A 23,390-nucleotide genomic window follows, 5' to 3' on the forward strand; every position below is an offset into this window, starting at 1 on the left:
GCACATGTATACATATGTAACAAACCTGCACGTTGTGCACATGTACCCCAGAACTTAAAGTATAATAAAAAATATATATATATATATTAAAAAAAGAAGCATTAGCAACAGTATCAATGCCTTTGACAGATGGCAGAGGCAGCAGCAGCAGCAAGCAGCAGCTTTTGACTTCAACAGAGGTAGGCAATGCCAACACATCAAATTATAGCAGTGAAGGAGGTATCAGACAAATCTTTACTACAGATAGCTCAGATGTATAACACAAAATCTTTTGTAATCTATCCAATTATTTTTGGTTTTCAAAAATGTATTAGCTACTTTTAATTATTCACACTATCAGAGGAACTTTGAAATATACTTGTCAAATTCCTTCCAGAATTTCTCTTGGCATTTTGATTTGAAACACTGAATTTATAGATTAAGTTATGAATACTTCCTTAAACTATTGTCTTATCATTAGAAACATGTTTTCTTTCTACTTATTTGAATATTTAGTAAAGTTTTTTCTTCATGCAGACTTCATACAGTATCTTTAGAAGTATTTTATAAATAGTATTGTTATTGAGTGTAAAATGTATGATTTGCAAATATATTCTCTCAGTATATGGTTTGTCTTATTTTTCTTAACGGTATCTTTTGAAGAGCAAGAGGTTTTAGTTTTGATCAAGTCCAATTTACCATTTTTTTCTCTTTTGTGGGCCATGGTTTCCGTGTTGCATCTAAAAACAAAAAAAAACTTTTCCTAACCAAAAATGGCTGTTTTCTTCTAAAGGTTTTATAATTTTAGCCTTACATTTATATTTATGATCCATTTTGTGTAGGTGCAAGGTAAAGTATAAATTCATCTAGTTGTATTAAACATCTTTTGTCCCATTCTTATGTTTGTAACATAAAGTCTTGTAGCATTGGCCCACACAGTTTCTAACTTTCAGAGCTTAAGGAGATGTTCTTCATGAAGTGAATATATGATCAATTTCAAATGCTTTTATAGTTTTACAAAAATGGTATGCTCTTATTTTTAAAAGCCATGCAATGTAGATTAGGGAAAGAAAAGAAAAGAAAAGAAAAGAAAAGAAAGAGAAAGAAAGGATGGAGAGAGGGAGGGGAGGGAGGAGAGGGAGAGAGAGAGAGAGATGAAAGAAAGAAAAAGAAAGGAAGGAAGGAAGAAAGAGAAAGAAAGAGAGAGAGAGAGAGAGAAAGAAAGAAAGAAAAAAAGAGAGAGAAAGAAAGAAACACCGTGAAAAGAGTCATCACCAATTATTATTTCAGCCATTTCTCTAGGTCACAAGTCATTTTCTCTTAAAAAAAAATTGAATGCATAACTTACATTGTTTTGTGATATCCGTTATGACTGATGAAAACATGATGGTGGTCTGATTCTCTAGTCTTTGTCACCTGGATTCTTTCTGTAGAAGTCTTTATCTTTATTTTTGGTAAACTGGAATTTTATAAAAATGTCTCTAGGTATTTTTTAATTCAAATATACTGGGCACTCACACATTTCCAATCCAACTGCTCCAGCCATTTATCTCTGAGAAATTATACTACACTATTGATTGGATAATTTTTCTCTTCATGTTTTCTCCATTATTTCTTTATGAGACTCCTATTAGCTACATATTGAATTGTAAATTCTTAAGAAATTTTACTATTTGACAGCTTTGAATTTTGGCACTCTTCAATATCTGATTTTATATTTTCTGTATCAATTCATCTATCAGAGGACACTTAGGTTGATTCCATATCTTGACTATTGTGAATATGCTGCAATGAACATGGGAGTAAAGATGTCTCTTTGATATCCTGCTTTTATTTTCTTTGGATAAATACCCATAAATAGGATTGCTGAATCATATGTAGTTCCATTTTTAATTTTTTAGAAATCTCCATACTGTTTTCCCATGTGGTTGTTTTCATGCCAATTTACGTTCATGCCAAGGGTTTACATGCATCCAAGGGTTTCCTTTTTTCCATACTCTCACCAACTCTTATTATCTTTCATCTTTTTGATAATACTTATCCTAACAGGTGTGAGGTAATGTCTCACTGTGATTTTAATTTGCATTTCCTTGACAATTAATATTATTATATTAATAATATTGAGCATTTTTCACGTTCCTATTCACCGTTTATATGCCTTTTTTCCCATAAGTTATTGGGGTACAGGTGGTATTTGGTTACATGAGTAAATTCTTTAGTGGTAATTTGTGAGACTTTGGTGCACCCATCATCTGAGCAGTATACACTGCAACATATTTATAGCCTTTATCCCTATCCCCCTCCCACTCTTTCCTCCAAGTCCCCGAAGTCCATTGTATCATTCTTATGCCTTTGCATCCTCATAGCTTAGCTCCCACATATCACAGAGAACATACGGTGTTTGGTTTTCCATTCCTGACTTACTTTACTTAGAATAGTAGTCTCCAGTCTCAACCAGGTCACTGCAAATGCTGTTAATTCATTTCTTTTTATGGCTGAGTAGTATTCCATTTTATGTATATATATATACATACCACAGTTTCTTTATCCACTTGTTGATGGGCATTTGGGTTGGTTCCACGATTTTGCAATTGTGAATCATGCTGCTATAAACGTGCTTGTGCCAGTTTCTTTTTCAAATAATGACTTCTTTTCATGTGGGTAGATACCCAGTAGTGTGGATTGCTGGATCAAATGGTAGTTCTACTTTTAGTTCTTTAAGGAATCTCCACACTGTTTTCCATAGCAGCTGTACTACTTTACATTTCCACCAGCAGTGTAGAAATGTTCCCTGATCACCACATCCATGCCAACATCTAATGTTTTTTGATTTTTTGATTACCGTCATTCTTGCAGGAGTAAGGTGGTATTGCATTATAGTTTTGATTTGCATTTCCCTAATCATTAGTGATGTTAAACATTTTTTCATATGTTTGTTGGCCATTTGTATATCTTCTTTTGAGAATTGTCTACTCATGTCTTGGCCCACTTTTTGATAAGATTGTTTTTTTCTTACTGATTTGTTTGAATTTGTTGTAGATTCTGCATATTAGTTCTTTGTCAGATGTATAGATTGTGAAGATTTTCTCCCACTCTGTGGGTTGTCTGTTTACTCTGCTGACTGTTCCTTTTGCCGTACAAAAGCTCTTTAGTTTAATTAAGTCCCAGCTATTTATCTTTGTTTTTATTGCATTTGCTTTTGGGTTCTTGGTCATGAAATTTTTGCCTAAGCCAACGTCTAGAAGGGTTTTTCCAATGTTATCTTCTAGAATTTTTATAGTTTCAGGTCTTAGATTTAAGTCCTTAATCCATCTTGTGTTGATTTTTGTATAAGGTAAGAGATGAGGATCCAGTTTCATTCTCCTGCATGTGGCTAGCCAATTATCCCAGCACCATTTGTTGAAAAGGGTGTCCTTTCCCCACTTTATGTTTTTGTTTGCTTTGTCAAAGATCAGTTGGCTGTAAGCATTTGGGTTTATTTCTGGATTCTCTATTCTGTTCCATTGGTCTATGTGCCTATTTTTATACCAGTACCATGCTGTTTTGGTGACTATGGCCTTATAGTACAGCTTGAAATCAGATAATGTGATGCCTCCAGATTTGTTCTTTTTGCTTAGCCTTGCTTTGGCTATGTGGGCTCTTTTTTGGTTCCATATGAATTTTAGAATTTTTTTTTCTAATTCTATGAAGAATGTTGGTGGTATTTTTATGGGGATTGCGTTGAATTTGTAGATTGCTTTTGGCAGTATGGTCATTTCACAATGTTGATTCTACCCATCCATGAGCATGGGATATGTTTCCTTTTGTTTGTGTCATCTATGATTTATTTCAGCAGTGTTTTGCAGTTTTTCTTGCAGAGGTCTTTTGACTACTTGGTTAGGTATATTCCTAAGTTGTTGTTGGTTTGTTTTTCTCTTTCCTTTTTTTTTTTTGTTTTTTTTTTTTTTTGCAGCCATTGTAAAAGGGGTTGAGTTCTCGATTTGATTCTCCCCTTGGTCGCTGTTGGTATATAGAAGAGCTACTGATTTGTGTACATTAATCTTGTATCTGGAAACTTTGCTGAATTCTTTTATCAGCTCTAGGAGCTTTCTGGAGGAGTCTTTAGGGTCTTCAAGGTAAACGATCACATCGTCAGCAAACAGTGACCGTTTGACTTCTTTACAGATTTGGATGCCCTTTATTTCTTTCTCCTGCCTGATTTCTCTGGCTAGGACTTCCAGTACTATGTTGAAGAGGAGTGGTGAGAGTGGGCATCCTTGTCTTGTTCCAGTTCTCAGAGGGACTGCTTTTTGTATGTATTTTTTGGAAAAAGTTTTATTCAGGTCTTTTGCCCATTTGTAATTGGATTATCTGCTTTTTTTTTTTTTTGCCATTGAATCATGAGTTTCTTATACATTTTGGATATTAACCCCTTATCTGATTTATGTTTTACAAATATTTTATCCCATTCCATAGGTTGTCTTTCTAATTTTATTAATTGTTCTCTTTGCTGTGCAGAAGCTTGTTAGTTTGATGTAGTCCCACTTGTTTAATTTTGCTTTTGTTGCCTGTGCTTTTTACGTCATATCCAAAAAATCTTCACCGAAACTAATGTAAATAAGCTCTTTCCCTATGTTTTCTTCTAGGTGTTTTACAGTTTCACTTCTTTACATTTGTCTTTAACCCATTTCAAATCAACTTTTGTATATGGTAAAAGATAAGGGTCCCATTTCATTTATTTGCTTATGGACATTCAGTTTTCCCAACATCATTTATTGAAGAGACTGTCCTTTGCCCATTGTGAATTCTTGTCTCCCTTATCAAAGATTACTTGACCATATATTAATAGATTTATTTCTGGGCTTTTTATTTCATTCAATTTGTCTATGAGTCTGTTTTTATAGCAGTCCCTACAATTTTAATTACTTTTGTATTATAGCTTGAAATCATAACTGTAAGACCTCCATGTTCTTTCTTAAGATTGTTTTGGCTATTGGAGGTCTAGTTCTCCAGTTTCTTGGAAAAAAAGAATGATACATTCTTAGTGGAATCCCTTTAATTACCACTTTTAAAGGCTAAATTCTCATTCCATAGTGTAAGTTTAGTCATTCTTTAATAAGGCCTGACTTAAGTTGCCCTGCTGGCATTTTTTTGTTTTTTTTTTTTTTGTTTGTTTGTTTTTTTTGAGACAGAGTCTCTCTCTGTCACCCAGGCTGGAGTGCAGTGGGGCCATCTCGGCTCACTGCAAGCTCTGCCTCCCGGGTTCACGCCATTCTCCTGCCTCGGTCTCCCGAGTAGCTGGGACTACAGGCGCCCGCTACCACGCCCGGCTAATTTTTTTCTATTTTTAGTAGAGACGGGGTTTCACCGTATTAGCCAGGATGGTCTCGATCTCCTGACCTCGTGGTCCCCCCGCCTCGGCCTCCCAAAGTGCTGGGATTACAGGCGTGAGCCACCACGCCCGGCGCTGCTGGCATTTTTATAGGTAGACTCCACACTGTGTAGATGGGACTTAATAGTTATAGTGGTGTACAGAAGTGCATCTGGTAAAGAGCACACCTTACAAAGTGCTGTCTGGAAATGCAAATTGTATAAGCATAGTGGTTGACTGTAAAAGACCTCCACTTAGGCAAACATACTATTGTAGATTTAAATTACAGTTTGGTCTCAACACTTCTATGAACTCTTGAGCATGTTTTCCAGTCTGATTTGGTTCCTTTAGTCTCTGTAAAAGGAAGAAGTGCACATGCTATTATGAGTCTCACTGCTCTGTAATCATTAATTCTTCTTTTTTTTTTTTTTTTTAACATGGTACTTAGGCACATAAAGTTAACAGCCTATTGGATGCATACTCAGGCCTGTTAAGTAATGAATCCATGATCCTGGCTGTGAACTCCAGGTATGATAAGCTATCATGCTCTTTTATTTCACTAATTGGATGCATTTAAAATGTTATATCTTTAAAAACATGCAATTGTGAAAGATAAGAAATTACTCCAAACTTCACCATCATAATTTGGTGACTACTATTTCTTTCTTATACTCTTTCCCAGTCTTTTTGTATTGCGTAGACAAGCAGATAATCTTTCTAGCTGCTGAGGCAAGCTTCATTTGCCATCAGTTTGAAGATGCATCTCAATGTAAGAAATACTAAGATGTGAAAAACATATTATCATTGATTACAGAAAATGGGTCAGTAATATATCTCAACTGTTTAAAGCTTAGCATGGCTTTGTGGACTTGGCTGGGAATGTAACCACTCTTTGCATTATTATGTTTATGGAGAAATATATTCTGATTTCTACATAACTGTTTATAGATAATATTTGCAAAGAAATTAATTCCTTTATTTTTACAACATTATTATCATTTTTAAGAGAATATTTAAGACTCATCTGTCATACAAAGCCAAAAGCTGAACCTCATTTTTGCTTATCACTAAGAAATGGCTGGGCCAGGCACGGTGGCTCACACCTCTAATCCCAGCACTTTGGGAGGCTGAGGCGGGCGGATCATGAGGTCAGGAGATCGAGACCATCCTAGCTAACATGGTGAAACCCCGTCTCTACTGAAAATACAAAAAATTAGCCAGGCGTGGTGGCGGGCGCCTGTAGTCCCAGCTACTCAGGAGGCTGAGGCAGGAGAATGGTGTGAACCCGGGAGGTGGAGCTTGCAGTGAGCCGAGATGGCACCACTGCACTCCAGCCTGGGTGACAGAGCGAGACTCTGTCTCAAAATAAATAAATAAATAAATAAAGCCCACTAAATTTCTATTATATTTGTTTTCTCATCATTAATAATTGCTCCTTTTTCTTGTCAGCTTTGTGGATCCCTTACTGCAGTTTGAATCTCAGTTGAAGATAATAGAGTCATCCTTTGGAATGCTAGTTGTCATGCCAAGTCTTGACAAAGTAAAAGAAATGGGGAGCAGTTATGAGTACATTGAGGACATGGAGGTAAAATTTTTCTTCCTTTAATCATTATAGGATGTTATTACACATCACAGCAATCCTGCAGAATGTGACTCAGCAGGTGATAATCTTTAGGGTCCTCCTCTTCACTCTTTTTAGTTATAACAGTCAGGGCACTAATCTATACCACTGGACTCCTTGTGAGTTCTACAACCCATGGGATTTTAATGGATTCTATAGGATTTGTAGGAGCAAATAGGCGAAGATATTTTTGGTTAATTGGTTTAGCAAGAATAGGGAGTTTGCTGGCAAGTGCTTCAAAGAATGGAATAGGAACATGGAAAGATGGAAGTAGAAAGAATCCTATAGTAAAATTAGCAAACATCTGCGGTCTCCATTTCTTCAGCATTGCTATACAGTGAACTTGCTCTATAAGCTAGAGAAGAAATTCATGGCATATGATATAAAGTGAGGTCTCAGCATAGCCACCTCTCTCCTTTCTTCAGTTTGTGGAGAGAATGTACAACACTCAGATGCAAAACTATCAGGCTAATTGTTTCTTTTTATAAGAGCTTCTATACACATCTCAGAGAATTTCAGCCTCGTCTGCAATTGATGCAAGGTGACTTTAATGTAGAAACTTTCTCAGCTATGTTCCTGTATCCCTAACACAGATTTGTAGGCTGCTATTTTTTTACAAATGTGCCATTATTTTCCAACTGGACTTCTTCCAAATATTCCTGAGTGGCTACCTGAGGATACCCAGAGATACTTTTACTTTTTACTGGTGAAGACCACTCTGGTAGTTGGGAGAAGAAAAATAACTTCTGAGTTAAATAAAAGTCTTCTTCCAATACTAGAAAGAAAGAAAAAAATGTGTTGTTATATAGCATTTCATCATCCAAATGCCCCATGTTTATTAATGTTACATATATTTTATATATCAGCTACTCACACATGGAAATTTCCAATACCCACATAGCATACAATTTCTAGTACCTACATAGTGTGTGGAACAATAAATCTTACTGTTTCCATCTATTTACATATAAAATGTATTCAATATTTGGTTTCGTTTTGTTTTGTTTGAGACAGGGTCTTGCTCCTTCACCCAAACTAGAGTTCAGTGGCACTATCTTGGCTCACTGCAGTCTCCACCTTCTGGACTCAAGCAATCCTTCCATCTCAGCCTCTCAAGTAGCTAGGACTACAGACATGCACCACCATACCTGGCTAATTTTTGTTTTGTTTTGTTTTATAGAGATGAGTTCTCACTATGTTGTCCAAGCTGGTCTCAAACTCCTGAACTCTAGCAATCCTCCCACCTTGGCCTCCCAAATTGCTGGGATTATAGGTGTGTGGCACTGTGCCTGGCCTGAATTATATTTAAATATGATGTTTGGATAACTTGTAGGTGTCAGCTAAAATAAGAACCAAGTCACGTCATGCTTGAGTCTTCTCCAACCTATTTCAAATCACAAAGGCATAAAAGTCTATTTTTTTTACATAGATAGTAGTAAGTAGCAGCACTTAAAATAGCAATTACTGTCTACTTCCATCACAACTATTCAGGTGGATATTCACAAATTATTCCTTTCAATGAACTTAAAGCAACAGTTAGAATAAAATATATTCATGTTATTACATTCTAAAAGACAGTGGAAAATTGAAAAGTATACGTACAAGAGTATCCCAAAACAAACACTAAAAAGATAATCTATAAACAGCTAAGGCAAGAGAAAATTTAAAATTTTAGAGGTGAGAATTTTTCTAAATGTTCACCATTAGAATAGGAAATAAAACTTTTTATAAATACAGGGACAAAACTATTAGCCAGGGCTATGTTCTTTTTGAAAATGAACTCAAAATCACACATCCAGTGAAAATAAATCCAACATATTGAATTCTCAAGCAAAATCACATTTAAGCACAAAGAATATTGAGGAAATGCAGCATTCATAAACATGGAAAATCAAGTTTTTATAAAATTAAATTTATAGCTTTTCCTCCTATAAACATGGTAGATGCTTATTACAGAAAATTTAAATATTATAGAAAGTCACTAAAAATATTCATTCTACTTCTCAAAGAGAATTACATTTTTATGTTTTCATTTGTCTTTTTCTTTGTATATTTTTTAATATCTGAGATAATGCTAAAATTCTTTAAATATGTGTGGCATTTTACAATTTGATGTTAAGTATTTTCTGTGTCACTGATTTATGTTCAAGGAATTGAAACCCAGTTAAAAGTAACTTTTAAGCAAGAAAAAAACTGTAGACATTAGGTAAAATTTTATCTAAGTCTGGCTGACTGTGCAATGTTTTTGTGTTTCAGAATTTATACCACAATATTTTAAATATATATGAGAACATTCTTACGAGCTTGGTGTCTAAAGACCTCTACAAACTACAGATCTTAAAGGTAAAGAGGAAATAAGTAGTTTAATTTTCTTGTCATAAGTCTAGTATGCTCACTATGCTTCACTTTCTTCTCATTTGCTATATTTGCATCTCCTTCAAGTATTTGATGACTGAAAGTTTTTCTTTACCACAGAAGAGTGAAATGTAGTCACTTCCCTTTATTTGAATTACAGGGGCACACTTTTAGGAATTTAATTTGGGAAGGACAGCATCAACAGGTACTTGAGAAACCAGGTCTCATGTGGTGATATATGGGTGAACACAGTTTGAAGTAGCAGAGAATAGTATTAGAGAGCAGTGTTAGCCTAAACTACCCTCAAGTTCACATAGCAATGAAACCATGCTGTGTATGTCTGTGTTCATGCTTCTTCCTCATCAACTCAGGTGCTAAAGAAAATGCTGAGCATTCTATCTTCATGGGTACTACTGTACCTAAAGAAGGCCTAACAACAATTCAAAACCCTATTTTTCACAACTGAGACCTCACTTCATTTTTTAATGTCCCAACCAGAGACAGAAGACTGCACTGCATGTCTTGTGGTCTTCAACTTTGCATTCCTAACATGTTGGCATCAGAGGCCAACTGTCCAGAAGTACTGGAAAAATAGATGGATTTATCCTACCAGGAGCATCTATGAGCTGTATAAATCATAAATACATACAAGTAAAGAAGCAGTATTGGTATTTATGAATACAAAAAGGAATTTGAATGAAAATAAAAATGTATTAAGCTAATTTGTGCCTAATTTGAGCTGTTTTTTTTAATTCATTTAAAAAATGTTATCCACTAGCTAGCCATATGCAGAAGATTGATATTGGACCCCTTCCTTACACCATATACAAAAATTAACTGAAGATGGATTAAAGACTTAAATGTAAACCCCAAAACTATAAAAATCCTAGAAGACAACTTATGCAATACCATTCTGGACATAGGAACAGGCAAAAATTTCGTGAAAAAGACACCAAAAGCAGTTGCAAATGGGACCAAAAGCAAAAATTGACAAATGGGATCTAATTAAACTGAAGAGCTTCTGCCCAGCGAAAGAAACTATCAACAGAGTAAACAGACAACCTACAGATTGGGAGAAAATTTTTGCAAACTATCCATCTGACAAAGGTCTAATATCCAGCATCTATAAGGAACTTAAGTTTACAAGAAAAAAAAAAACTCCATTACAAAGTGGGCAAAGGACATGAACAGACACTTTTCAAAAGAAGACATACATGTGGCCAACAAGAATATGAAAAAAAGCTCAACCTCATTGATGATTAAAGAAATGCAAATCAAAACCACAATGAGATACCAACTACCACCAGTCAGAATGACTATTCTTAAAAAGTCAAAAAACAACAGATGCTGGCAGGGTTGTGGAGAAAAATAAATGTTTATACACTGTTGGTGGGAGTGTAAATTAGTACAACCATTGTACAAAACAGCATGGTGATTCCTCGAAGACCTAAAAACAGAAATACCATTTGACCCAGCAATTCGATTACTGGATATAATATATCCAGAGGAATATAAATTGTTCTGTCATAAAGACAAATGCACACATATACTTGTTGCAGCACTATTCATAATAGCAAAGACATGGAATCAACCTAAATAACCACCTGTGGTAGACTGGATAAAGAAACTGTAGTACACATACACCATGGGATACTATGCAGCCATACAAAAGAATAAGATTATGTACTTTGCAGGAATTTGGATGGAGCTGGAAGCCATTAGCCTTAACAAACTAACACAGAAACAGAAAACCAAATACTGCATGTTCTCACTTATTAGTGAGAGCTAAGTGATGAGAAAACATGAACACATATTGGGGAACAAGAGATACTGGGGCCTGACAAAGGGTGGAGGTTGGGAAGAGAGAGAGAATAAGGAAAAATAATTAATGGGTACTAGGCTTAATATCACAAGTTTATCTATATAAAAACCTGCACATGTACCTCTGAACTTAAAATAAAAGTTAAAAAAAGTTGTTATCCTCACAACCCTTCACCGTGATTATGAATCCTCCCCTTCCCTGCCCATGCATGCTCTTTTATTCACTCCATGACACTATCAATAGCTTCCATTTATTGAGTTAAGCATTGACTCCATGTCAGGCACTAAATTGAATATGTGGGTTATCTCATACAATCCTTAACATAATTCCATGAGGAGGTTACTATTAATTCTTCCATTTCACAGATTTAAAAAAAATGAAAACGGAGAAAGGAGCAATAATATATATAATGCTAATGTGTGGAGGAGCCCCTCTAGCTTGGAAGCCTGTTACTTAACCACTTTGTTCTTATACCTACCATGCCTAAAAGCTTCCCTGCTTCTCAAAAAGGGCTGAAACCTCACTCCTGAAAAGGACAAGGCAGAGAGGCTGACCCCTCTGAGATTTAGAAACTCTTTCACCTTAGGAAATAGACTTCAAACATTTTTCACAATGGGAGCAAGAAAAGGTGAAGAGGTTTGGCCAACCATTGACATAAATATAGTAGACCCTGACAGATTGCCTTAAAGAAGGCTATTAATGGCGATTGGCATATGAGGCATATGCAGTATTCTTCCCTTTTCAAGGTTGTAAATGTGTCCTTGCCTCTGAGGATTAAGAACAGCTAGAAGGTGCAGCTAAGACAGATTTGAAAAAAAATTTGCAAGAACTTTCTAACCAACCTGCCTCCGGTAATGTACTCTCTAACCATAAGCCAGAATATTTGAGTGGTGAATTGGCAGAGGAATTCTGGAATAAGATGATATTGCAGGATCAGACAAGATTTTAAATCTCTTTAAAGCTGAAAGGCAGATTGTCATTTAAAAATAAAAGGGAGAATACATACTTTGAAAGAAAAAGAGGAGGCAAAGCAGCTGGTAATCATGTCATAGCTTCGTACTGAACTATTCATGGTGCCTAACAAAGTGACTATTATAGTGGATATTAGTAAATACTTTTTGAATATAATAAAATAAAATAAAACCCAGATACAGTTTCCATAGTAGATGAAGTAGTATACTAGATGCTTATTGTCTGTGTTTTTGAGATAAATGTAGGTTAAGTGTGAAATAACCAGGAGAATGTAGGAAGGCCTGATTTGGTGAAGTTGAAGAATAGAGGAAAGGTTCTTGGAAAATGGAAATTTCATGGTTCTAGGATGACTTTTATGTTTCCAACAGGAAATGCTCGTGTGGATGAGTAAAGATAGCTCATATCTGCAAGAGAGAATAATGGTGATCATCAACAAGGTGTTAAGATTTACAGTCACAAAAGTCAGAAAATACGTAAGTCACAGAATATAACAATGCCACCTGATTCTGAAGACTGCATTTCCATAGTGCTGCTTTCCATGTCTTGGGTCCTAACAGTACTTGACAGGTCCTTGGTATTATTGTACTGGTAGGTTGGTTGGGATATCAGAAAAGGAGTCAATATCCCACATGACTTTTTGTCAATCAGAACAGAGTTTCTCAAACAATTGGTTAAGACGCATCATGCTTTATGCAAAGAGCATGAGGGTGTTAAAACCAGATTCTTGCTGACTCTGAAATTTCCTCTGTAGACCACAATTTGTAATCTTTAAAATCCTTCCAACCTTACCTTTCTTCTTATGTATTACTTCCTAAAATAATTTGAAAGCTGTTATTTATTTTAAATTTATACAAGTAATCCTCAAGTTCTTTCATTGTGAAACATGCTAGAGGTAGAGCATAAATCTCCCTTTACTATCCTCTCCACACCAACCCTGTCCTTAGCCATGTCAGCATGATGTGTGTCCTAACAAACCACTTTCAATGTGCACACCCACATATAAAACACACACTGAAATACATAGCTTTATTATTTATTGTTTCTTTACTAAAGTTATATTCACATATGGTTCTACAATTTGCTTTTTTTCACTGAAACAATACATCCTATAGACATTTTCATGTCAACATATGTAGATTCATTTTATTATTTTAAATACAGTATATAGCCCATAGTTTTGACATATTATGATCCATTTAGCTATTTTTCAGTTGATGGACATTAAAGTATCATTTAATTTTTTTCTGCTTCAAACAATACAAAACAGGCATCTTTGTGCAAGTACATGAGTGTGTACCTGGAAAGGCTTAGAAAGATAATGGTCAGATAAAGAAGTATGATAGGTTAAAGTTTAGTAACACAAAATTGTCCACCAATTTGCATTCATGTAAATATTAAGGTGCCCATTTCCCCACACCTTCACAAATACTGGGATACAATCAGACTTTTTAATTTTTGCATTTCGGATGGAGAACAAATAGGTATGTCATAATCACCAGTATTTACTGAGTTTGTCTATACTTTGAATGACATCATGGCCTGCCTTCTCAAAAACCTTATACTACCTATGAACATTTCCCTTTTGTGGATACTGTATATTCAGCCTCTGTTTCCCAACTCATCCTTCACAGCGATTTGTAAACATACTCTGCTAATTACTTATCTGATTGCTGGAGTCACTTCAGGAGGAGATAAAAGTAAAGAGGGTGAGAAACATGCATTCATGATGTTATCTTTATCCATTTTCTACTGCTTGTACAAGCAGTCCCCAGATTTATTGAGATGAAGAATCTAGATCAGCTTTGTAATACCTCTGAATTTTTACTATTTTGTTTAAACTCAGCTTTGGAACATAATACAATTTACTTAGATGGGGGACACAGTCCAGAGTGTTCTTTGTATCATGCTAATTCCCTATTTCAGTGTCCCAAAAAAGAGAGTGAGCGGCTTATTTCAATCTTCTGATTCTCTGACCTGGGAAGGCAGCCTTTCTCTAACTTCTAAAATAGCTCGAGTTATACATTTGGTGTCCAGAAGGTTCACCATTGAAAATTTTGCAAGTGAGGCTTGAAATTAAGTGTATCTCACCACTCAAAACTGTTTTCTGCACAGCTCCTAAAATGTGTTATATATTCAGCAAGTATTTGATGACAATTGTTTGACTAGAGCCTAGTCACATGTTTCTCTCTGCATTTGATATATTCTAGTGAGTTCCACTCAAGTAGCAGATAGGCATTTTGGAGTTTCATCTTCTATCACTTCTTTCCATTACTGTAGTAGAGTTCATTCTCCTTTGCATACATCCCATCCTTCAACTGCAAAGGAATAAATATGTAAATTCACATGTGTAGCAGAAGGTTCTCATAAATTGTTAGTTGAGAGTTCCTAGCTATAACTCAGATTTGTTCGAGAAACCCAACGGAATAACCTATTACTCGGTTCTGCAATGTTCACTAAGTGCCACCAGGTGGAAGTACTTCAGTATTTTCCAGAACATTGAAACTAGAGCTAGAATCAACCAGCTCATCACAATCAGGGAAGCATAAAACTTCAGTAAGTTCGCTTTCTCTTTAAAATATTGTCTTGTAAAGATGATTAAGCCTGTGAAATTAATTGGGGAGGCAAATATACAAAACAAAAAAATCAAAACACACTGTTGACAAATTAAAATCTGAGATTCCCACAGCCCTAGTCTGTGTATCTCTGTATCTGACACATTGTATATCATCAACGAATATTTGTTCTACCCTTCTCTAAGTGCATCCACCTCATTTGTTATCTGGTACTGTTCCTACACTGGATAGACTTTTTTCTCCATAATAACCCTAGCCTAGGTCCTCCAGAGTGTCAGAGATTCTTGTCCTATTGAACAATTCTATCATTTTTATCTTGTCATAAACATTTTTAAAGTGATGATTTGTCTCACATGACTCATGTGCCCATCAGGGTAGAGAAACTCCTGCACTCAAAGCACATGTTCCTTCAATTAAATGGTTCAACTTTCAACAGGCAAAGAAATGTAAGTTAAGCATGTCAACTTATAGCATTAAGATTTTTTTCCTAGCTTTGTTCCTTTGGCACATCAGCATTTAAAAATGGATGGTGGGTTTCCAGCTAAATCTAACAAATTGCCCATGTGTATATATCTCCTTCTCCTCCAGAGTCCCCACAAAATGATGGTAATAAAATATTTTAAAAGTATAAATACACAGCAACAAAAAGAATTAATGAAGTGTTTTCAATGGGCTAGTGATGCCAACAAATTTCTGGAAGACAGATTAGGTAGAAGATAAAACCTGGCAGGGGAATTGAATGGTGGGAACCCATGAGCATTAGGGTAGGAGTTAGCTGAAAGAAAAGTAGTGTGCCCTGTAGAACCCTAGAGAGTGAGTTATGAAAGGCCAAATAATGATAAGGGCTGGGAGTCAAAGGCAGGCTGGAAACACATGCATTAATTCAAAGGATTAATTGAAAACATGTACAGAAGAACCTACATTGTCCCGCATTCCTCTTGACACACATTGGCAGACAGAAGTTGAGAATTTTTCTTTTGCAAAAACCATTGTTAAGCTCCCTGAGAAAAGAGTCTTGCATTCTGTCTAGCTATACTACAGCATGACCCCAGCCTCCCTCCCAGTTGCTCTAAAACAAAGTACAACAGGTGGCAAGCCTTGCTCACACACAAAACCCCATCAAGAGGCATTACATCCTTAAATTTTAAGCAGCAACCACACTTTGTGAAATTTGGGGAAACTCTCCAAATAAAAGAGACCAACAAGGGTAAATAAAGAAAAAATTACTATTAAAGATAGAGAGACAGCTGGGCTTTGTGGCTCATGCCTATAATCCCAGTGCTTTGAGAGCCTGAGGTGGGAGGACCTCTTGAGCCCAGGAGTTCTAGGCTGCAGTGAGCTATGATCACACCACTGCAGTCCAGCCTGGGTGACAGAGTGAGACCCCATCTCCAAAAAAAGTAAAAATAAAAATAATTTTAAAAATAAAATAAAGAGATAATGCAGGGTACAGATGCGAAAGACATAGGTACATACTAAAAGGAAATATAACTAAAGTGAGCATGGCCTATACATTGAATAATTTTATCTAGTCATGGTGAGACCATATTATTGATTTTCAACTTTTAGAATTAATCTATAAACCCAGCACAGGAAAACTTAAATAAGTTACTGAATACAATGTAAATGCTATGAGCTCAAAAGTGCAAAAATTAAAGTGCAGAGAATAGTTTAGTGGTTCTCCAACAAGTTACACATAGAATTGCTATTTGACACAGAAATCTTAGGTATATACCTAAAAGAATTTAACAGTTTCTCAAACAAAAACTTGTACAAAGTGTTCATTGCAGCAAAATTCACAGTAGCTGAAAAGTGCAATCTAAATGTCCATCAACAGATAAATGAACAAATAAAATCTAACACACACATATGGCATATTATCCACTCAAAAAAAGGAATCAAGTTGTATACATGCTACAACATGCATAAACCTTGAAAACATTATACTAAGTGAAAGAAGCCAGGCACAAAAGGCTACATTTTGTATGATTCTACTTATGTTCCTATTCTGTTATGTTTTATCCTGTTACATTCCTATTCTGTTATTCTGTTCTATGAAACAAGAAATAAAAGTATTAATATATTAGTAAAACACAAAAGTAGAAGAATTAAAAATAATATACTATGATGAGTAATGTTCTCTATTGAGAGAATTGTGGCGAAGTGGAAGAATGGAATTGAGATAGACAATGTCTCAAACTGATGTTAGAAGCAAAGGTGCATTGTTTATAGAAACAGGGGAGACTTCCAGAAGAAGCAGCTGAAAACCATAGAAGTGGTTGCTTCTGGAACCTAGCACTTAACACTATCATTACTGTTAAGATAAGGGACTGGAGAGGCCAGATCTACAAAGAAAGGGCACAGTTAAAAGGGCCAGAAAACTAAGCAGGAATACTTAGGTTTAGGAGTGAATACCGAGAAGCTACTTTTCTCCAGTTTTTAAATATCTGCTTCTTTTTAGTACTTGGGTAGATTTTCTATAAAGGCAGGATATATCATACCGAAAGCTCTCAAAGTCTCATCTTAGAGGAGGGGTAACTGTGGTTGTCACGCTTCTGAAGGGGCTTGGCAGGATATACATCAGTGTGCTCCACGATCCACGCTGCCTTACTCCTCTCTCAGCCTACCTTGGGTCATGTCCCACTTCCTAAACATGCCTTTTTAGTTGGTGACAGTAAGTGGATATGCAGTCTAGGCACGACCACACATACTCTGCTAGAGACATACACCTAGATAGATCCTAACTGGCAAACAGAACAGAAGGAAACCACTAGGAGCTTCATTTACAAAAACATCTACTAAGAACTACACATCTAACAAGCTCCTGAGCAGGGATAATCAGAGAGGACATTTGAGGCAAAACCTGTAATATAAGATGACTGTAAGGCCAATCCCCTGTAAGTGGTGCTCAGCTTCAGTGAGGTAAGCTGTGAGAAGTACTACTCTTCTCTCATACCCAGTAGAGAGAGAAAACTTGATCCTTTTTCTCATGCCCATACACAATGATGGTTTTAAGATCTTGCCATCGAGTGGGAAAAAAAAAAAACTTGGAATGCAAACCCAAAGAAAAGGACATTCAGGCAAAGAGAGCATTTCCCCCTAGGGCCTAGAGCAGAGGCTGTCTGCTCCCAGATTCTCCAAAGCCACAGAGCTCCTATAAGGGGAAGGACCAGGCCACTCTTTGTACGGGTGGAAAAGAATGCAAGGAGAATATCCATGGAAAAAAAGAGATTTATAATCTCTCTTCTCCTACTGAGATCATCACTCCCCACATCACAATTCAATTATGGCCTTCGCCCATGACCTAGATGACCCAGGTCACTTCATATTTCTTCCTTAGGAATTTCTGTGTGTGTGTGTGTGTGTGTGTGTGTGTGAGAGAGAGAGAGAGAGAGAGAGAGAGAGAGAGAGAGACAGAGTGGGCAGGGAGTGGTGAGTTAAGCCACATAAAGGGCAGGGAAAATGGGGCATGAAAAAGGTCAACAGAAGCAGAAGCAGGCCTTGGGATCCCCCTAGAGTTTACCATCAACAATTGCTCCAATCATCAAAGCCTCTACCTAGGAAAAGTACTCACTTGTCTTGGAGGCAAGAACTATCTGCAAGTCATGCTGCTAGTTTGCCAAATCTACATTTAATCAGAGCCCTTCTTTGTCTAAAAAAAGACATGCAAAATTGGTAAAGGCCCTCATACTTTCATAAAAGCAAATGCCTTTTCTACCTTTCCTCTTTTCTCTCTCTACTCCCTTCTCTGTTTGGATATTATCTAGCCAGAGAGGTCCATTAAGGTGAAAATCTAAATATTTGATCAGTCTAAGGGTTGAAGAAGTTGTAGAAAGAAATACAGAAATATTTTGGTAGTAGCTTTGACATCAAAAGCAAATGATCTGCATTTTAAAAAAATGAATTCCCTTGAGAGGAGTCAGAATAACTTCCAGAGGAAAAGTGGCATGCCTCCTCAGTGACTTGTAGAAACATCTAGTGTTTCGTATGTGAAGAAGGAAGTACTAAAGGTTTTGGAAATACACAGCCCACCTTACTTTTCTATGTCCTGGGAATTTGCTACCTGCAAGTGACTACCCACTTCATGGCATAGAAACTAACATTAGTTGAGTCACCATTATGTCCAAGTACTTTCCTAGGAATTTTTCTTCTTGTCATCAGTGTTACCCCTTACTCTCCACAATAACTGTTACAAAGTGGAATTTATTGTCTTCATTTCACAGATGAGGAAATTGAGAGTCAGTAACGGGGCCAGGATTTGATTACAGATATTGTAAACTCTGAAGCTTATCTTAGAATCCTAGTCTGATTTATAACAGGATCAGATGCATGCAGACATTTTCATATTGGCTATGCATAGCAAATGCATGTTCTCCTTTGTTTCTCCATTAGATAAGTGTTGATGCTCCATGTTTGGGTCTCCTGGCAGCAGAGCTGTCTCTTTTGTGTTCCCATGAAGATCCCTCGATTGTAAAACAAGCATCATTGGGAATGTGTCACCTCCTCTACATTGCACGGTGTCAGAACGGTAAGAACAGTTCACCATCTTTTCTCAGGATTACTAAGAATATGTCCCTCGTTATTCAACTTATAGGTCCTGGGAAGGCTCTACGTCTGTTAATTTCTAAATCCTGCCCCAAGAGTCATGGCTATACTTTCTAAAATGTGTCTTTTAATCTTTTTAGCATTGTCAAGAAATTTTGGTAATAGTGTGGTTGGTTCTTCAAGATTTATAAAGTACTGTGCTTAGATTACTTGAGGGTTAATGGTAGGGAGAGGAATGCTGGGTGGATCCAGGGAGGACAGAGAAGGAGAGAGTTTACCAATGGGACTTTAAAAATGCGGTATTTTTTTCTGTCTAATTGAGTATCTGATAGACTACTCAGAAGATTCTTGCTTCAATGGTGGAGAAAAATAAGACTAGGATTAAAATAAATGTTGCTGTGGCTTGTCTAACAAAGCATAAAAGCAAGACCTGAAAGTATTAAGCTATTTCCAAGTAATTTAATTGCATTTTAGAACAAAGCTTAAGAATATTTGTATATTTGTAAGGGGTGGAGCCTCTGTCTATGGAGGCTATGCCTCTGTTTCTGTCCAGGATGTAATAACAGAGAACACATTTACTCTATTTACACTCCTATAGTAAGCAACCTTAAAAATATACATAGTTTTTGGCAAGGCACAGTGGCTCACGCCTATAATCCCAGCACTTTGGGAGGCTGAGGTGGGCGGATCACAAGGTCAGGAGATCGAGACCATCCTGGCTAACACAGTGAAACCCCCTCTCTACTAAAAAATACAAAAAAATAAGCCGGGTGTGGTGGCAGGCACCTGTAATCCCAGCTACTCAGGAGGCTGAGGTAGGAGAATGGCGTGAACCCAGGAGGCAGAGCTTACAGTGAGCCGAGATCATGCCACTGCACTCCAGCGTGGGTGACAGAGCAAGACTCCGCCTCAAAAAAAAAAAAAAAAATACACACACACACACACACACACACACACACAGAGTTTTCAATTCATTGCACATTAAATAATAAAGGACAATGACTCTTGAAAGATGAGGAGGTGAGAACGAATGAGGTGGGGTTTGTAATTGCCTGAGCTTACCACCTAGAGTACATTTCTAAGAGCCAACACAAAAAGAGATAAGCCAGTGGTCTCATCAAGTTAAAAAGACAGAAATGGGAGTCCAGAGAGGTCAATAGCTAGGGTTGAAAGGCCAGGGTACCAGAACGGAGTACATGAGTGCATGCACACGCATACACACACACACACACGCACGCACAAACCCACAAACTCGAGATCTGCAGAGATCTAAAGAGAGCCCCCTTTAAGTATTTAGCTGAGTACTAATGAGAACATGCATGCAAGTAAACTGCCTGAGTTTGAAGGGTAGGAAACAACAAAAATGATTAGAGAAAAAGATTCAGTGCTCAACAAAGGCTAGTGATAATGCCTGTGCCTGTAAGCCAGAATTTAAAACCTTATAATTCACAAGTACCGAGGTACAGTACTCAGACGGGTTTTGTCTCATTAGGAGAAAAAAAATCATCCTAAACTGTTTTAGTGCTACTTAAAAAGGCCTTAAAACAAGATCTAAAAGTATCACTATCTCCAAATATTTTAATTACCTACCAAAACAAAGCTGAAGAATACCCCTAGAAATAAAAAAAAAAGTTCCTGCACTCAACAAGTTAAAATTAACAATGTCTGAAATCCAATTTAAAAAAAATTATTAGGTTGGGCACGGTGGCTCATGCCTGTAATCCCAGCACTTTTGGAGGCCGAGGCGGGCAGATCACCTGAGGTCAAGAGTTCGTGATTAGCCTGGCTAAAATGGTGAATCCCCGTCTCTACTAAAAATACAAAATTAGCTGAGCATGGTGGTGCGTGCCTGTAATCGCAGCTACTCAGGAGGCTGAGACAGGAGAATTGCTTGAACCTGGGAGGCAGAGGTTGCAGTGAGCTGGTATCGTGCCACTGTACTCCAGCCTGGGCGATAGAGAAATGGCACAGATGATAGAATGAGTAGAGTGTGACATTAAAAGAATTATTATAACTACATTCCACTTATTAAAGGAATTAGAAGATAAAAACATCTTAAGTAGAGACAGAAAAACTCCTAAAAGACTTATATTGAACCTCTGGAGGTAAAAATTACAATATCTGAGAAGAAAAATTCTCTGGCATGGATTAACAAAAACTTTGCAGAAGAAAAGATTAATGAGCTTGCAGACATAGTAATAGTAATTATCAAAATTTAAACAGAGAAATAAATGACAGACAAATAGAGCATCAGTGAGCTATCAGGCATGTCTAATATGAGTCTCTGAAGAGCCTAATACATATTTTATTTGAGTCTCTGAAAGTGAGAAAGTGAGGACAGAAAAACAAATTAAAGAATAATGACTGAAAAATTTTCAAATGTAATAAAAGCTATAAACTCACACACTGAAAAGCTCAGCAGAGAACAAGAAATGTGAAGAAAAGAACATCAAGGCACATCATAATTAAATTGCTTACAACAAGTGATAAAGAAAAAAATCTTAAAAGGAGCCAAAGAGGAAAAAGGACATTACATATAGAGAAACAAAGATAAGGGTGACAGCAGATTTCTCACCAGAAATGACACAAGTTATAGGCAATGAAGGAACATCATAAAATACAGAAAAGAAAAAAAAAGTCAATCTAGAATCCTTAAACCAGTAGAAATATCTTTCAAAATAAAAAGTAAAATAAAGACATTTTAGATATACAAGAGTTGGTAGAATTAATTACCATAAGATCTTTAACTGCAAGAAATGTTAAAGAAAATTCTTTTAGAAAAGGAAATTATACCAGACGAAAATCTAGATCTACAAAAAGGAATGAAGAGCACTGGAAAACTTCAGCAATATAGATAAATATTCATTTATCTTTCTTATTTAAATCTCTTTAAATGATAATCAACTCTTTAAAGATAATAACAAAAGTAAAATATATAAAAACAACACAAAAACTTAAAGGGAAAAATGTATAAATGTGTTTTAAAATTCTTCTCCTATGCACAAAGTTATAAAATAACACTTGAAAGTAAACTAATAAGTTAAGGATGTATCATCTAAACCCTAAAGCCACCATTAAGATAATATAGCAAAAAGTTATATATATTAAGCCAAAATGGAGCTAAAATGGAATCATAGAAAATAATTTAAAATGAGGCAAAAAAGAATAGAAAAAAAGCAGATAACACAAAATAGGAAACAAATAATCAAGACAAATTTTTAACCCAATCATAATAAATGTAAATATTCTAAATACCCCAAGTAAAAAGGCAGATTGTCAGACTGAATAAAAAGCAAGCCTCAACTATATGCTGCCTACAAGAAACTCACTTTAAATATAAAACATACATGAATTAAATGTTAAAAGTTAGACAATGATATAACATGTTAACAATAATAAAAAGAAAATTGGAGTGGCTATATTCTATTATTATAAAAAGATATATTTTAGAGATAAGAATGCCTCCAGGGAAAAGAAAGTCATTTCATAATGATAAAGGGATCGATTAATTAAGGAGACATAACAATTCTTTTTTGAATAGATTTAGGGGGTACAAATGCTGATTTGTTGCATGGATATATTCAGTAGTAAGCATCACCTAAATAGTGTACATGTTACCCATTAGGTCCTTTCTCATCCCTCACTCCCCTTTCACCTTCCCACTTTTATGAGTCTCTAATGTCTATTAATCTGCTCTGTATGCCCATGTGTACACATTATGTAGTGAGAACCTGTGGTATTTGACTTTCTGTTTTGAGTTATTTCACTTAAGAAAATGACCTTTTTTGCCTCAATGATCTAATACTGCCAGTGGGATGTTGAAGACTCCCACTATTATTGTGTGGGATGCTGAAATCTCTCACTATTATTGTGTGGGAGTCTAAGTTTCTTTGAAGAACTCTAAGAACTTGCTGTATGAATCTGGGTGCTCCTGTGTTGGGTGCATATTTATTTAGGATGGTTAAGTCTTCCCATTGAATTGAATCCTTCATCATTTATGTAAATGCCCTTTTTTGTCTTTTTTGATCTTTGTCGGCTTAAAGTCTATTTTGCCTGAGATTAGGTTTGCAACCCCAGCCTTTTTCTGTTTTCCATTTGCTTGGTAGGTTTTTCTCCATTTCTTTATTTTGAGCCTGTAAGTGTCATTACATGTGAGATGGGTCTCTTGAAGAC

At 36.1% G+C, this 23,390-nt stretch overlaps 1 protein-coding gene across 4 annotated transcripts in view; it reads left to right on the top strand.

Annotated features, from left to right (window-relative positions):
• The window catches only part of MROH9 (maestro heat like repeat family member 9), a 129,232-nt gene that overhangs the window by 17,150 nt on the left and 88,692 nt on the right, over positions 1-23,390 (top strand). For all 4 annotated transcript variants that reach the window (NM_001163629.2, XM_011510006.3, XM_011510005.3 and 1 more), the window contains exons 4-8: positions 5,778-5,857; positions 6,779-6,914; positions 9,207-9,293; positions 12,468-12,572; positions 19,065-19,200. In NM_001163629.2, the coding sequence (NP_001157101.1) occupies positions 5,778-5,857; positions 6,779-6,914; positions 9,207-9,293; positions 12,468-12,572; positions 19,065-19,200 (544 nt within the window). The remainder of the gene's footprint in view (positions 1-5,777; positions 5,858-6,778; positions 6,915-9,206; positions 9,294-12,467; positions 12,573-19,064; positions 19,201-23,390) is intronic.

Source organism: Homo sapiens, chromosome 1, assembly GCF_000001405.40.
Source record: "Homo sapiens chromosome 1, GRCh38.p14 Primary Assembly".
NCBI lineage: Eukaryota > Metazoa > Chordata > Mammalia > Primates > Hominidae > Homo > Homo sapiens.